At 39.8% G+C, this 16749-nt stretch overlaps 1 protein-coding gene across 1 annotated transcript in view, besides 4 other annotated features; it reads left to right on the forward strand.

Annotated features, from left to right (window-relative positions):
• PHLPP1 (PH domain and leucine rich repeat protein phosphatase 1) overlaps nt 1-16749 on the forward strand; it is a 264893-nt gene that overhangs the window by 161900 nt on the left and 86244 nt on the right. The gene's annotated exons all lie outside the window — the stretch shown is intronic.
• Nucleotides 182-682: an enhancer, noted in NCBI's record as "OCT4-NANOG-H3K27ac hESC enhancer chr18:60544855-60545355 (GRCh37/hg19 assembly coordinates)". NCBI's record gives its function as "activates a minimal SCP1, AML or CMV promoter by ChIP-STARR-seq in primed H9 embryonic stem cells {active_cell/tissue: H9 hESC(primed)}" and the evidence as "EXISTENCE:reporter gene assay evidence [ECO:0000049][PMID:30033119]".
• Nucleotides 1582-2083: an enhancer, noted in NCBI's record as "H3K27ac hESC enhancer chr18:60546255-60546756 (GRCh37/hg19 assembly coordinates)". NCBI's record gives its function as "activates a minimal SCP1, AML or CMV promoter by ChIP-STARR-seq in naive H9 embryonic stem cells {active_cell/tissue: H9 hESC(naive)}" and the evidence as "EXISTENCE:reporter gene assay evidence [ECO:0000049][PMID:30033119]".
• Nucleotides 2084-2583: an enhancer, noted in NCBI's record as "H3K27ac hESC enhancer chr18:60546757-60547256 (GRCh37/hg19 assembly coordinates)". NCBI's record gives its function as "activates a minimal SCP1, AML or CMV promoter by ChIP-STARR-seq in naive H9 embryonic stem cells {active_cell/tissue: H9 hESC(naive)}" and the evidence as "EXISTENCE:reporter gene assay evidence [ECO:0000049][PMID:30033119]".
• Nucleotides 10592-10761: an enhancer, noted in NCBI's record as "experimental_49136 CRE fragment used in MPRA reporter constructs". NCBI's record gives its function as "activates a minimal promoter by MPRAs in K562 erythroleukemia cells, with activity observed for both the introgressed and non-introgressed 18:60555350 variant alleles {active_cell/tissue: K562}" and the evidence as "EXISTENCE:reporter gene assay evidence [ECO:0000049][PMID:34662402]".

Genomic DNA, 16749 nt, shown 5'->3' on the forward strand with positions numbered 1-16749 from the left:
ACGTTAGAGGCAAGCCAGCTGCAGACTGCTGAAGAAAGAGTAAAGCCTATGTAAAAGAAAAACAGCACAAATGCTGCTCAGGGTTAGAGATAACCTTGGGAAGGAATTTCCACTACCAGGGTTCCATGAGGCTTGCCAAATGTTAAAGGAATTTCATGGAATGTATGGAATGTCTTTTTGTCAGTTAACTGTTCCCAGAACTGGAAGTTCCTTTCTTATACAGCTTTGCTTTTCAGATGGAATTGTGATCCTCTTGGGAAGCTTTCCATTTCACAAGATTCCCATTTTCCTTCCCAGAGAATTTGAGCAAAGCAGAGCCGGCAGGTGGTGCTTGGGGCTCCGTGATTATATAGCCTTTGGTTCTCTTCTTGCCTAATGCTGCCGACCTAATTTATGGCAATGATGGCCCATTTTCTTATTCCCTCATATAGTACATTTTGAAGACGGAGCTCAGAAACAAAATATCAGCCAGGCTATATTAAATTAGTTTGCCCTGTTGACTTTTTGGGATAGTTTAAGATGTTCTTTAACATTTATTCCCACTTAAATAGAAGGGAGAGAGGCTGGTATCTTCAAAAGCCTTGGCTTGATTCCAATTCAGTTATTGTATTCTGTCCACTTCCATTCTTTGAGCTCTGTGGAGCTCTTTGCCGTATTCTCTGAGCTTTAACTTAACTGCAAGAGTTTAATGCCAACACTGTATTTGTAGATATTTGCTATTCTGAGTGGTAATCAACTTTACTCTGCACAGCTCCTAGTGCATAGTAATAAGTATAGAGTAAAAGGACCAAACTGATGCTTATTTTGTTGATGGTGAAGTGTCATCATAACTTGGGACTTGGGAACATAATTAACATCTTTGCTGATGACTTCTGAAATAATTCTTTGGTTGCCGGTATGAGAATGCTGATGGAGACCAATACTCCTCTCCTCCCTCTCTCTGCTACTTCATGTCAAATAAACACATCTAATTCTGGAGCTCATTCAGACAACACACGCATGTCAGTTTTGAAAACTAAGGACCCATGAAAATGTCTGTTTTTATTTAGTGGCTGTAATTTTGATGTCACTCACCATGCTCTAAACTAATGGAGCTTTGAATGGGAGGAGTCACATTCCTCTTGTCATTTCTCTGGAGTGGTGAGGATGATGACACCAGAACTGGCAGGATATTTGACAGTGACCTCTGTAAAAGCAGGGCACACCCATTCCTCCCTGGTGATGTCTTTTGGACGTATAATTAATAAGAAAACCTTGGGGAAAGGCTGACTTTCTAAATAGCTGTTTTTTTCCCCTAATTTTAAACTTTGTCAGAATGCATATTTATACTCCTCATATTGTGTGTGTGTGTGTGTGTGTCTGGAAGTGCAACAAAGGGGAGATATTATCTGATACATGTGATAAATATGTGCATGTTCAGATGTACTATTTCATTCAATTCAAAGTTTTTCATAGGCAAATACCAGTGTCTTCTTGACATGCTCTGTGATTAGACTTTAAGCATTCTTTACAACCACAGGGCTTCTTTCTCCTTAATAATTTGGTCTACTTAATGTTTCCCAATTACCTTGTAGTTTTTGCTTTCCAAATCAGTGTTTCACAAAATGATTCATGAAATGCCTACATCAGAATCACCTGTAGTGTTTATTGGTGCTATGGTTTGAATGTGTCCTCCAAAGTTGATGTGTTGGAAACATAATCCCCCATGCAACAGTATTAAGAGGTGGGACTTTAAAGAGGTGATTAGGCCATGAGGGCTCTACCTTCATGAATGTATTAATGCCCATTATCAAAGGGCCTGAGGCTGTGAGTTTGCTCTCTTGCTCTTACTGCTCTTCTGCCATGGGATGACACAGCAAGAAGGCCCTCAACAGATGCCAGCATCTTGAAATTGGACTTCCCAACCTTCAGAACTGTGAGAAATCAATTTTTTCTTTATAAATTACCCAATGGTATTCTGGATATGTGTGTGTGTGTGTGTGTGTGTGTGTGTCAGAGTCTTACTCTGTCACCCAGGCTGGAGTGCAGTGGTGTGATCTCGGCTCACTGCAACCTCCGCCTCCTGGGTTCAAGCGATTCTCCCACCTCCGCCTCCTGAGTAGCTTGGATTACAGGCGTGTGCCACCACGCTGGGCTAATTGTTTGTATTTTTAGTAGACAGGGTTCACCGTGTTAGTCAGGATGGTCTCGATCTCCTGACCTCGTGATCTGCCCACCTTGGCCTCCCAAAGTACTGGGATTACAGGCGTGAGCCACTGTGCCCAGCTGGTATTCTGTTATAGCAACACAAAATAGACTAAGATAACTAGAAACACAGATGCCTGTTTTTCATCCCAGACCTGAATCAGAACTTACAGTGATGGGGCCCAAGAATCTGCATTATAACATTGCATGCTGAAGTTTGAGAAATAGCCATACCATACGATTCTTTTTAAATGGTCTGTCTTCCAGTCCCCCTCTGTCTATTGAACTCCTACTCATGTTCCTTAGGTAAAAGTTTTCACTTTTGTAAACACTCATGGTACTTCCTCCCCCCACCCCCCAATGCCGCCAGTAAGTTTTCAGTTTTCACCTTCTGCTTTATTTTATAAGAGCTTTGTTCTCAAATTGTTTCAAGTTCCTGGAGGGTGAAAACCATGTCTAAATCACATTTGTATACTTCCAGCACCTTTGTGCATAGTAAGAACTCAAGAAATGTTTAGTGAATAATGGTTCAACCCTAGCATCAGACTTTTATTATACCTAGGAAACTTTTGGGTGTTAGGGTTTTTTTTTTTTCCCCATTTAGCTGTGAGATATGCTTAGCCTATTTGTTATATGGTGTTTAGGCTACTGTCTAAGGACATTTTTATGACCTAATTATTCTCACTGACTTTTGCTTATGCGCACTTTCTCATTTGTTTGGTAATCCAATATCCTTGATATAGATGCTATTTGGTTTTCCTTTTTATATATCTTTATGTGACTTGAGTGGGATTTTATCCAAGTATACTTGTGAATCTTCTCTCCTTTGGTTTGAGAAGAGGAGCAGAAATAGTGATCCATTTTCTGCCTTTTTAAGGAATTTTTTTGTTTTGTTTTGTTATTGTAATATTTTTATTTGTCCTAGTGTGGCGGTTAATATTAAACATCTCTTGAATATCATTGGCAATTAATGGGCTAACTATGGGCAGATATGTTGGTGAGAAAATGAAAAAAAAATGTAGTCATGGATAAATTGAGTAAAGAAACCATCTCAAAACAGATATGTTTAAGTGTAATGTGATAACATATTTCTTGGTTTTTGATTCTTATATTGCTAATTTATTAAAGAATCAAAATGACAAATTTATGCAGCTTATGACTCATTGTTTTCCTGAATTTAGTTAGTTCAGGCTTACTATAGATCTAGCGGCTGCTGTTTTCACGTAATTACCATCTTATGATCTAGAGTGGTTCTCTATGTAATTTACTTACTGGACTCATGGAGCCTTCCACTGCGTACCTCCCTCTCCACCATAGGCAGGAGCTGTGCCTTATTTGTTATTGTATCCATAGGATTAACCCAGCCTAAGGTTTGGCACATAGTAACCAGTAAGTACCTCTTGTTTGAATTACTTTAATTATTATTTTTTTGTTTGTTTGTTTGAATTATTTTAAAAGAGGAATTAAGATGAGTTTTCTCTTTAGGGCTGGTTGTAGTAGTCCCATGTACTGTGGACACTGATGCGTGGGAATTGCTTGAGCCAAGAAGGTCAAGGCTGCAGTGAGCTATGATCACACCACTGCACTCTAGCCTGGGTGACAGTGATACCTCATCACTTTAAAAAATAAATAATAAAGGGTTTTTTTTAATTAAAGAATTTTTCTCTTTAGGGAATACTTTAATTTGCCTTTACAGCAAAATGTCCATGGAAATTATTGTCAACACTGAGAATTCTTTATTTCTTTGATTATTACTTTTGAAAAATTATGAGTTTTAGCTTTGGTAAATTTATTCTGATTTTCAACATCTGTAGCAGTTCTTAAAAAAATTATAAAATTCTTTCATGACTGTAAATTTTAATTTTTACCTAAGTAAAATATGCATGTGCTTATTTTTGTTTTCTAGTTATATGAAAAGGTGATATGTTTATTTTACTTGTACCAGGAGGCATTTATGGTGACTAGGATTCAGATAGGATGATTTGTTTATTTTGGCTCAAGTGTTGACAAGCTGGTTGCATGCCACATTAGCATCCGTGCACTGCTAAGCCTCCCAGATGATGGCAGGTGCTCACTGGGAACAAGGCTGGTGGACTCCTTGGCCCTTGGAACAGAAGGGCATACGTAAGTTCATGTGGATTCATTTTAGAAGTCATATAGGGACGACAGGAAAAGCACTGTACCAAGAAACTGAGAAGATGTGAGAGTTCAGTTACAGGCCAATGGAGTTTGGGGGTGTGGACAACAGTGTGAAAGCCAAAAGGAGTTGAGTCATGCCTTCTGAAGGGTGGGTGTTCCCAGCAATTCTGAAGCAGGCACAATGAGCCAAATGTTTCTCATGCCATTGCCACCACAGATGAGTCCGAAAGGAACATGGGGCAAAAGGTGTTCCTTCCTTTCCTCATCCAGGAAAGACAGCCTCTCTCATGCATTTTAGAAATTATTTGGCTTCCTTATGTAACTATTATGGCACATGCAGGTTGCCCTATATCATAGTTGGATTGGGACAAGAATATTAACACATGACTGTAGGACAAACTTACCAAGCCAAAGAAGCACCACACGAAAGGAATTGGAATTTGAGGAGTTCATGGAAAAGGAAGTTGCTTACTGGGGGTCTGTGTCTCTCATTCATTCACTTAACTATTTTTTTTTTTTTTTTGAGATGGTGTCTTGCTCTGTCACCCAGGCTGGAGTGCAGTGGCGTGATCTCAGCTCACTGCAAGCTCTGCCTCCCAGGTTCACGCCATTCTCCTGCCTCAGCCTCCCGAGTAGCTGGGACTACAGGCGCCCGCCACCGCGCCTGGATAATTTTTTTTTGTATTTTTAGTAGAGACGGGGTTTCACCATGGTCTCAATCTCCTGACCTCGTGATCTGCCTGCCTCGGCCTCCCAAAGTGCTGGGATTACAGGCATGAGCCACCGCGCCCGGCCATTCACTTAACTATAGTTTCTAAAGAGCAAGTATATTCAATACACATTTTTAAAAGTACTTTGATACACTTCCCAAGATTATTTCTTCTAAAGATAAAAAAGAAAAGTTACTCTGTCAAACTTTAATGGTCTCAAAACCACAAGGTGTGCTCTTAAGAACAACAACATGTGCTTGGTTTTATAAATTCTTTTAGAAAAAAGTAAAGAGAAACATGAAGTAAGTGTAACTCATTTTACCCAAGCTTTTCTATTTTATTGGAAAAGCATTAAGCTTTCTCTTTTTGTTCTCCCTTCCCCTAGTATATAAAATTTATTTAAATTGAATGGATAAGGTTGATTTTATCTATTTATGTATTTATTTATTTTTGAGAGAGCAAGACCACATCTTAAAAAAAAAAAAAAAAGAAAAAAAGAAAGGATGACTTATTTAATAAATGTTGGTAACATAGCTAGGTACCAGAAAGAAAATAGTTGGCCCTCCATCTAACATTTCTTGTAAAACATGTCAGGTGGAATTAGGATCCAAATGTAAAAAATAAAATATATATACATGTTAGAAGGAAACATTAAGAGAACATCTGTACCACTTTGGGTGGAGTGAGAGGACCTTCTCAAGCAAAATTAAAAACAGGGATCCCATAAAGGAAGAGATTGCCAAATATGAGCAAATAAAAATTAAAAATTAGTGTGTGGCAAAAGTCACCATGAACAGAGTGGGAAACACCAGACAGCAGGCTGGGAGGGCGTGTTTGTAGCATTTGACAGTACACGGCAGGTGGTATTCAGGGAATGCCTGCAAACTAAGTGGCAGGTGAATAGTCCATTAGAAAAGTGGGCAAAGGATATGAATGTGTATCTCAAAGAAGATTTGCAATTACCATTTTCTTCTTTGCAAAAAGCAGCTCAACTTTACTGCAAAATAAAAATTGAAATGACCTATGTAATTTTTGCCCATTAGATTGGCAACAGTTGAAAAGATGCTAACATTAAATGCTAGCATGGGGAAAGGGACCCTCTCTTACATGACTGAATGGGAGTATGAATTTCTGTAACTTTTTTTTGTAGTTTTGTAGTACATATTTAAACTGTACATACTCTTGGGGCCATCAGTTATACTTTTAGAAGTATAGATTCACAGTCCCTTATTAAAACTCTTGAGGACAATTGTGTTTTCAGATTAAATGGAGATAACATGGTGCATATACTGTACATTATGTAACACCTCCAGCAGGGTTTAAGAGAGCACCCCATAAGTAGACACATTCATATTTCTAGAGAGATCAAATGAATATTCACATCAGTTCAGATCAGCTTTTGCCATCACATGAGTCAATTAAAAATCTTTGAATTTTCAGAGTCTCTTGGATTTCAGAATTAAGGATAAGGCCTATTAGGCACCAATAAGTACTGTAAAGTAAAATCATTAATACACAACCAGATACATCAGTGGATGTTTCTTGCAGAATTGTAACAGCAGAAAAACTGAGAGTACTCCTAATGTCAATCAGCGGAGGAATGGAATACATTATGGTTCATTTGTACTCTGTGTATTATGCAGCTGTCAAAAAGATTGAGTTAGGTTTTTATGTACTGACTCAATAAGATGATTTGTTTGTATTGGGTGAGTAAACAATTTGCAGAAAAAATATATGTGGTATAATCTGATTCAAAAAAATGTGGAGGGGGCTATCTCCTATTTATGCAGCTGTAAGGAGGAAAAGCTTTGGAAGGATATAAACCAAACTATTGACACTGCTTATCTCAGGAGGGTAGGATTTGAAATGAAGTGGGAGAGACTGTTAACTTTTTATGTGCTTCTATAGTTGGACTCACTTTGTTAAAATGAGCATTATTGTTTTGGTAATCAAATAAAATCTTTCTCTTAAAAGAAAATACAGTGAGTCTTACAGAGCACTGACAGCCTGGCAACTCCCCACTAAGGCAGAGCCACTCAAAGCCATTAGGGATCCTGCTTTTCATAATTGATGCAAAGTAGGGGGCAGGCCCAGAGCGACGCTTACAAGTCCAGCCGTTGAGCAGCTCCTTCATTACTTAATACTGAAGCCTAATAATTTCCAAAGTGGGCTAGCATGTGCCCCACAGAGGAAAAAACAAGTTAAACACGGGCTGTTACTGTGAAACGGAAATTTATTTACCTAGGGAGTCTTTTTAATTGACCCATTTGTGGTGAATAATACTGATTTCTCTCTATTAGAATCATTGACTAAAACAGTATGGTTTTCTCTTCCTGGGTGTTACTTGTGACACCCATTTTGAGCACATTTAGAATAGGTTTAAAAGTACAACTACTTCCATCATACTGTTATTTTAGTCAAGTTTTCAAGTGTATATGTCCCTAGTTCCTGGAAGAAAAATTACTCAAGACTTAGATATATCTAAAGCTAATTAATATTATGTCTCCAAATAGTCATCATGCTGTTTATTTGGTTTTATTTCCTAAATATGTACAAGCATATATAGCCATTCCCTGTAACTCACATGCAAAAATAGCTTTGTACCTACATTTTTGAGTATAGATTGAATAAGTGTTAAGAAAATGAAAAAGATTAAGCACATCTTATGACAAAACAAGCCCAGAAGGAGGAAGTATGTGAGGATTGGTAACATTTGTGTATATTTGTTTCTTTCTTTCAACTTTGACACTGTAAAACATTGGCTTTTTTGTTTTCTTTCCTGCCCTTGGATAAAAATGGCTCCACTTCATTTTCTAATGAGCATTGACTCCCAACTAGTTTTTTAGAGGCCAGACTCAAATAAGCTTGTTGAACCGTGGTTTACTTGTTTTAAAAACCTTTATATTGGCCGGGCGTGGTGGCTTATGCCTGTAATCCCAGCACTTTGGGAGGCTGAGGTGGGTGGATCACAAGGTCAGAAGTTCGAGACCAGCCTGGCCAATATGGTGAAACCCTGTCTCTACTAAAAATACAAAAATTAGCTGGGTGTGGGGGCATGCACCAGTAGTCCCAGCTACTCGGGAGGCTGAGGCAGAAGAATCGCTTGAACCTGGGAGGCGGAGGTTGCTGTGAGCTGAGATAGCACCACTGGACTCCAGCATGGGTGACAGAGTGAGACTCCGTCTCAAAAACAAAACAAAACAAAACAAAAAAACTTTATATTTACCTAATAAAGGTAGGGAAGTTGGATGCATGAATTTAGTGCATTTAAACTTTTCTGATTAAGAAACTAAACACTCTTTCCTTTTATAAATAATTTGCTTAAGTAGCTTGGAATATTACACCTCAAAATTTAGTAACTGGGGAAAAATTCCATTTAAAGCCAAGTGTAGACAGTGATACATTTACATGGTCTACTGTTGTCTAGATTACAGGGGAAACTAAGAAAATACAGGGATGGAACTGATTGCTCTATTCTCTCAATAGCAGTTTGAAGTTGTGTGCTGTTCTGTCTCTGCCATTTATTAGTCATGGCTGTGAAGCTGGAGAAAGGAAGGAAAAGGTAGGAACACTAGTAGATCACACCCCTAGATAGTTTAGCACATTTTGTGTATAAACGTACGGTGTCATTATTACCGTACTTTCATTTTATAATGTAAATATAGTAGGAGGTGCAAATTAAAGCAGTGTTAGTAATTTAATAGTGATAGTATCAGCTTGATTCTACCATCTCTTCCCTGTCCCCACTTTGACCTTCTGCCACTTGAGGGCCCCACCCTTGGCAAACAGTCATGCACATTGTTTGTTTGTTTGTTTAATTTATTTATTTTAGAGACAGGTTCTTGCTCTGTGGCCCAGGCTGGAGCACAGTGGCACGATCACAGCTCATTATTGCCTCAAGCTCCTGGGCTCAAGTGATCCAACCGAGTAGCTAGGACTACAGGTGCACACCACCACACCCAACTAATTTAAATTTTTTTTAGTAGAGATGGGATCTTGCTATGTTGCCCACTCTGGTCTTGAGCTCCTGGCCTCAAGTGGTCCTCCTGCCTCAGCTTCCCAAAGTGCTGGGGTTACAGGTGTGAGTCATGGCACCAGCCTTTGCACTTTGTTATAGGGCACTTAGGATACCTAGTTTGAAGGAGACTTCAGGTTTGTTTGCAAACATACTACAAGTACAGTTTTCTGTCTCTGTAGATTATCAAGTATATTTAGTTGATTGTGCTTTTCTGTGACACTTGGTATCAGTAACTAAAAGCGTGCCTTTGGAGTAAGTCAGACCTGAGTGATGCTCATTGCTGTTTGCTAAATATAATACTGTGACTGAAATAACTTCATTTTAATAATTAAGATTACTCTTGATTATGTGCTGCATAAATGTTAACTTCCTTTCTGTAGTGTGAACTCTGTATTGTAGGACAAATGAACATGAGTTATATTTCTTTCTTTAAAACATACTGCTTGTCCTGGAAAATGAAGTCAGTCTTTTCAGGTTGTTGAGTAGTTTGGGAGCACTGAGCTGTGCTTGAATTGGTTTGAAGGTAAATATAGTGTTCAGAATATTCACTGTCCTCCATTACTCATACTGCTACTCTTGGTAGGGGAAAATGAGAATGAAAAGATAGTGCTTTCCTGAGGCCATTCTTTGACCTGTGGCTTAGAATTATGAGTGATAGATATTTATTTATATTAAACTCTTTAATAAGGTTTAATAAAAGAGGAGGAGGAGAGATGAAAAGTAGTAATGACGTCGAAAGGCAGTAGATTCATAATTGCATGCAGTAGTCATACAGTTTCTCTGGGCCTGTTTTTTTTATCTATGAGCTTGGAAAATTAAAGAAAATGACTTCAAAGTCCCCTTCTAGTCTCATTTTTCAGTAGCACATGAGAAAAAAGAAAGATATATCCACTGCTTTAGTGCTTTAGTCTGTTTGGGCTGCTATATCAATTTACCTTAGAGTGGATAATTTATAAACAACAGAAATTTATTTCAGTTCTAGAGGCTGTGAAGTCCAGGATCAAGGCACCAGCAGGTTTGGTGTCTGGTGAGGACTCATTCTGTGCTTCAAGGATGCAGCTTTCCTCCTTTCGTCCTCACGTGGCTGAAGGGGCAAGGCAGCTCCCTTCAATTTATTTTACAGGGACACTAATCCCAATTGTAAGGACAAACCCTCATGACCTAATTACCTCCTAAAGACCGTACCTCTTATCACATTGGGGATTAAGTTTCAACATGGGAATTTTGTTTTTTGTTTTTATTTTTATTTTATTTTTTCTTTTTTTAGGTAGAGTCTCACTGTATTGCCTAGGCTGGCGTGCTGTGGTATAGTCACAGCTCACTGCAGCCTAAACCTTCTGGGTTCAAGCTGTCCTCCCACCTCAGCCTCCCAAGTAGCTGGGACCACAGGCACATACCACCCTGCCTGGCTAATTTTATTTTACTTTTTGTAGAGATGGGATCTCCCTGTGTTGCCCAGGCTAGTCTTGGACTCCTGGGCTCAAACAGTCCTCCCTCCTTTGTTTGCCTCCCCAAATGCTGGGATTACAGGCATGATGTTTTTTAAAAGCCACAGGTTTCTTGTCATTTTAAAGCATCAAGTAGAATTGTCCCTGGCTATGATTATAAACCGACCACTGTAGTTAGTACAATCATCATTAAAATATTTTTTAGTAATCTTAAAATCTGTGATGCTGTGATTCTCTTCCACTTATCTATGTTGAACAGCTATGAAGAAATATCTGTAGCCTCATTGAATGCAACGGTAGCACTGAAATATTAGTTTAAAATAGAATTATTTAAAATATTTCACAAAATGTGTGTGTGTGTGTGTGTGTGTGTGTGTGTGTGTGTGTGTGTGTGTATGTTTTTTTTTTCTTTTTAAAACCAGTCAATTTTATCTTGGAATCTGGGTCTGTGTGCATTTCATCATTTATCTGGCTTACCTGGCCAAGCGTGGTCACTCACACCTGTAATCCCAGTACTTTGGGAGGCTGAGGCAGGTAGACTGCTTGAGCTCAGGCCCTTGAGGCCAGCCTGGGCAACATGGAGAAATCCTGTCTTTACCAAAAATACAAAACTTAGCTGGACGTGGTGATGCACACCTGTGGTCCCAGCTACTTGCGAGGCTGAGGTGGGATTGCTGGAGCCTGGGAAGTCAAGACTGCAGTGAGCCGTTATCACACCACTGCACTCCAACCTGGCAGACACAGTGGACCCTGTCTCAAAATAATGAATGAATGAATTAATAAAAATATCTGGCTTACCTATTATGGCAAAGCTGAAAGTCTTATATTTTATTACAGAGACAGAGATTTCTAGACTTTTCCTCCATACCAGGGTGCTGTCACCTGGCTGTCTCCTTTGCATTCTTTTTAAATGAAGGTAAAGTGAAGAAAGGTCATCCATTCACCCTTTTGATCTCTTATCTCTCATAACTTAAACATTGCTTCCAAGTATGTGTTTCACTCATTCCAAATACTCGAGGGAAGTGAATTCTCTGTGGACCTCCCCTCTATCTTTCTCTGAAACAGTATTTGGATCTGCAAATGTCCTATAATCTGACTGCTTTCCACATCTAGAAAGGAAAAGTGGAACTCTGAGAAGGCTAAGGGTTAGTTACCACAACAGATGTGTTTTAATGTTGGTTGATACGTTCAGATCAAGAACTTAAGTTCTCAGAAACAATCCATGCTTTATTTGATAAGTATCTGCTGAATACCATGTCCTTCTCTGGGAAGAGTTTGGGGGATTGGCTGCACAGGGAGGAATGCAAAGGGGGTGGGGAATGTAGTGAGAAGGAGCAAGACTTTGAGGATACTTTTAAGTCAGAATCAGCTCTTAAAATTTATAGGTCTAGGGTACGAGTATAAATGGAGAGCCACATACCATATATCTGAATATTTAAGTTATAACCAAGCTAAGAAACTGTTAAGTAAAATATGTTATCTCCCTCTACCTTGTCAAATATAAAATTAATGTCCTGGAAACACAGATTCCAATTTAGAATCCTCAGACTCCCTGGGATTCTGCACTGAATATGATAACATGGGCAGAGCTGGGCCAGGGACCCCACCTCTTCTCTTCCTTCCTCCAGCTCCATTCCTCACCGTACCAGGGGTGTGGACACTGCAGCCCATATGTCCAAGCTCTGCCCATGCTAGGGCACATGGGTGCACACACTGGTGGGAGGATGAACCCAGGGAAGAACCCACACAAGCTCTGGAGGCAAGGTTGGTGTGCAGGGTAAGGAATTCCAGTCTCCTGCTTACTCTTAGTATGGAGAAGGCACTTCTCCAATGGGAATATAATATGAGCCACATGTAATTTCAATAATATATTCTTATTTAAGCCAATATATCAGTTGTTATCAGTTCTAAAAAGTTAATGAGATAGTTTATATTCTTTTTTGTACTCAGTCTTTGAAATCTACTCTATATTTTGTATTTCAAGAACATTTCCATTAGGACTAGTCCCATTTCAGGTGCCCAATGCTACCTGGCACTTGTGGTATTATACTGGACCTTGCAGCTCTTGGGAAAGGGTGCCCCCGACTCCTTGTTCTGTAGGGGGCACTTGGCACCTAGGACTGAGGGCAGTTCTCTTTACGTAAAGCTAGTAGAGTAGTGTTTTCTCATTTAGCTGATGCAGAGAATGGTTGTATCTCTTTCTCTTTATAATTAGAGGTAGGGGTCATTATCACTTTCACAATGTTCGTATATACATAAAATGAATGGGAGATACTTGTTAAGAGGTTTTTTTTCTCTCTTCCATTTTATTTATTTATAAATAATTTATTTATTTATTTTGTTTTGAGATGGAGTCTTGCTTTGTCACCCAGGCTGGAGTGCAGTGGCATGATCTCGGCTCACTGTAACCTCTGTCTCCCTGGTTCAAGTGATTCTCCTGCCTCAGCCTGCCGAGTAGCTGGACTACAGGCACCCGCCACCACGCTCGGCTAATTTTTATATTTTTAGTAGAGATGGGGTCTCACCATTTTGGCCAGGCTGGTCTCGAAGTCTTGACCTCAGGTGATCCACCCGCCTCAGCCTCCCAAAGTGCTGGGATTACAGGCGTGAGCCACTCCGCCAAGCCTTCTTTTCCATTTAAAACTTGTTAACTGCATTTTCCTCATTCAGCGTATTGCTGCTTTCCTTTATCCTCAGGAGTGATATCATCCTAGTAAATTTGTTTGCACAAATGAATTAAACACCACCGCCCCGCCACATTATTGACCTATACTTTTCCAAAAGCCAATGCTTTCATTTCTCATCTTGAGTAATTACTAGCTCTGCAGCCTTTCTGTTCCCCACTTTGAAAAGTTCACGTGCTCTATTATGTTGGATAATGTCTAGTGGATTTTTTTTCTTCCTAGAGGAACTTTTTTTTAAGTTAATTTAATTGGATGCAAATTTTAAAACTGGCCCATTCTCTCAAATGGGGAAAAATATCTAGAAAGTGGAATGCTGTTTTTGTTTGTACTAGAGCAGCAGTTTCATCTGTGATGCCTAGGATAAACATTTTATATCAGATAGAGTTGCCAGATTTAGGTTAGGGGATAGGGGAGGAAGCACCAGTTAAATTTGAATTTCATATAAACATTGAATAACTTTTTTCAGTGTAAGTGTGCCCCATGATGCAATGTTTGGGACATACTATTAAAAATATTTATTGTTTATCTGAAATTTAAATTTAACTGGATGTACTGTGTTTCATATGGCAATCTTATTTCAGGACTTCTTTGCTCTCAAATATTGAGGACCTTAAGCAACATTTATTTATGTCAATTATATATATCGATATTTGCTGAATTATAAATTTAACTAAGAAATATAGGCTGGGTGCAGTGGCTTACGCCTGTAATCCCAACAGTTTGGGAGGCCAAGGCGGGCGGATCACCTGAGGTCAGGAGTTCGAGACCAGCCTGGCCAACATAGTGAAACCCTGTCTCTACTAAAAATACAAAAATCAGCCAAATGTGGTTCTCGGCACCTGTAATCCCAGCTACCTGGGAGGCTGAGGCAGGAGAATTGCAACCCAGGAGGTGGAGGTTGCAGTGAGCCGAGATCACGCCACTGCACTCCAGCCTAGATGACAGAGCTAGACTCCGTCTCAAAAAAAGAAAAGAAATATTTTAGGGTAGGCACGATGACTCATGCCTTTAGTTCTAACACTTTGGGAGGCCAAGACAGGCAGATTGCTTGAGCCCAGGAGTTCAGGACCAGCCTGGGCAAAATGGCAAAACTTCGTCTCTACAAAAAAAAAAAAAAAAATTAGCTGGGTTTGGTGGTGCGTGCCTGTAGTCCCAGCTACTCAGGAGGCTGAGGTGGGAGGATCATCTGAGCCCAGGAGGTTGAGGCTGCAGTGACCCATGATCCCACCACTGCATTCCAGCCTTGTCGATAGAGACCCTTTCTCAAAAAAAAAAAAAAAAAAAAAAAAAGAAAGAAATATTTTAATGTATATTAATTCATTTAGACAGTAATAAAGCATATTAACATAAATGATGTTTTTAGTAACTTTTTAAATGAAAAAACAGTTTTTCAAAACAAAAATAGTAAGAAAAGTGTCATTGTTTTCTTTTCATTTTCTTTCTTTTCTTTCTTTCTTTCTTTTTTTTTTTTTTTTTTTTTTTTTTACGGAGTTTTGCTCCTGTCACCCAGGCTGGAATGCAATGGCACGATCTCGGCTCACTGTGACCTCCGCCTCCCAGGTTCAAGCGATTCTCCTGCCTCAGCCTCCTGAGTAGCTGGGACTACAGGTGCACACCACCACGCCCAGCTAATTTTTGTATTTTTAGTAGAGACAGGGTTTCACCATGTTGGCCAGGCTGGTCTCGAACTCCTGACTTCAGGTGATCCACCGGCCTCAGCCTCCCGAAGTGCTGGGATTACAGGCGTGAGTCACCACACCCGGCCAGAGTGTCGTTGTCTTCTATTTTGGTGAATCTTTTAATATCTGGCTGGATTCTCATATCTCTTTCTGTATTCCATCAGGTATGCTATTACAAAAGCAGGTACTGTCTGGAAGTCTCCACTGAAATATGAGAGTGACAGTTAGGTGTGCGGAAGAAAGTGGCACAAAGCAAGTAACATCTTAGTATTGTTATAAAAATAGTTTGAACAGCCAGGTGCGGTGGCTCACGCCTGTAATCCCAGCACTTTGAGAGGCTGAGGCGGGCGGATCACGAGGCCAGGAGATCGAGACCATCCTGGCCAACATGGTGAAACCCCGTCTCTAATAAAAATACAAAAAATTAGCCAGGCATGGTGGCGGGTGCCTGTAGTCCCAACTACTTGGGAGGCTGAGGCAGGAGAACAGCGTGAACCCAGGAGGCGGAGCTTGCAGTGAGCCGAGATCGCACCACTGCACTCCAGCCTGGGCGACAGAGCAAGACTCCATCTCAAAAAAAAAAAAAAAAAAGTTTGACCATGTGGATCTTCTGAAAGGGTCTCGGGTACCTCCTCTGGGGTCCCCCAAGCATGCTTTTAGAATCACTGGACTAGGAATAAGAGGCTCTGTAATTCTAGCTTGTGTTTTGCAGTGATTATAAATAATCAGAATAGTGGATAGGCTTTTTTTTTTTTTTGAGGCAGAGTCTCGCTCTATCGCCCAGGCTGGAGTGCAGAGGCGTGATCTCGGTTCACCACAACCTCTGTCTCCCGGGTTCAAGCAATTCTTGTGCCTCAGCCTCCAGCATAGCTGGGACTACAGGTGCCCACCAACATGGCTGGCTAATTTTTTTTGTATTTTTAGTAGAGACAAAGTTTCATCATGTTGGCCAGGCTGGTCTTGAACTCCTGACCTCAGGTGATCTGCCCACCTCGGCCTCCCAAAGTGCTGGGATTACAGGTATGAGCCACTGCACCTGGCTGAGGATAAGCATTCTTTAAGAAGGCCTAACGGCCCTAATATAAAACAGTTTAAAAACGATTATCCAGATTTAGGAATAATTCTTCCCTAAGTGATTTTTTTTAAATTTAAAATACAATTAAGTCTATTATACTCAGCCATCCAAGTAAACAGGTATTATTTAAAAATCAAGGTAACACTCAACCTGTCAAATAGGTACATGGTCAGCTTTCCATTTAGAATCAACTTTTATTTAACTATTTAGAATACAGCTTAACATATACTGATTGGGTTGAATTGTGTTTATTTTTAGAGTGTGTGTGTCTCTTCTAGGCAGAGTGCATACTGTCTAGGATTAGACGTGGGCGGTTTTTAAAGGAGTTAGCATAACGCAGTCACTAATATGATTCTTATCTTACTTAGAGATGGTGTAGAGGTCGTTGATAGGCCAAATGTAAGAGTGCACAGAGAAGTAAAAAATTAAAGATAGCTTCTTTAATTGCTTAAGTTGCTTGGGCAACTGTGAAAATGAAAGGGCTATTAACAAAAATAGAGGAAAAAGAAGTGCCAGTTTGGAATAAAGATGGTAAGTTCAGTTTGGGGCTGGAAATGTGGGGTAGCTCAGGAGAGGAGCCAGCATGTGATAGGACTGAGATAATTGCTCACATAGGAGTCAAAACATTTCCAAGGAAAACAGTGTAGAGAGAGCATGAAACTGCTAAAAAACCTATCTATGAAGATTACTTCAATTTGGGTTGGGGAAGAAAAGATGAAGAAAAGGAAGGTAATACATGAGAAGAGGGCTTAAGAGAGCTAAGAAGAAGGGTGTGTGGTCAGCAGCATCAATCAAGTACTGTATTGAGATCG

This window comes from Homo sapiens, chromosome 18 (genome assembly GCF_000001405.40).
Source record: "Homo sapiens chromosome 18, GRCh38.p14 Primary Assembly".
NCBI lineage: Eukaryota > Metazoa > Chordata > Mammalia > Primates > Hominidae > Homo > Homo sapiens.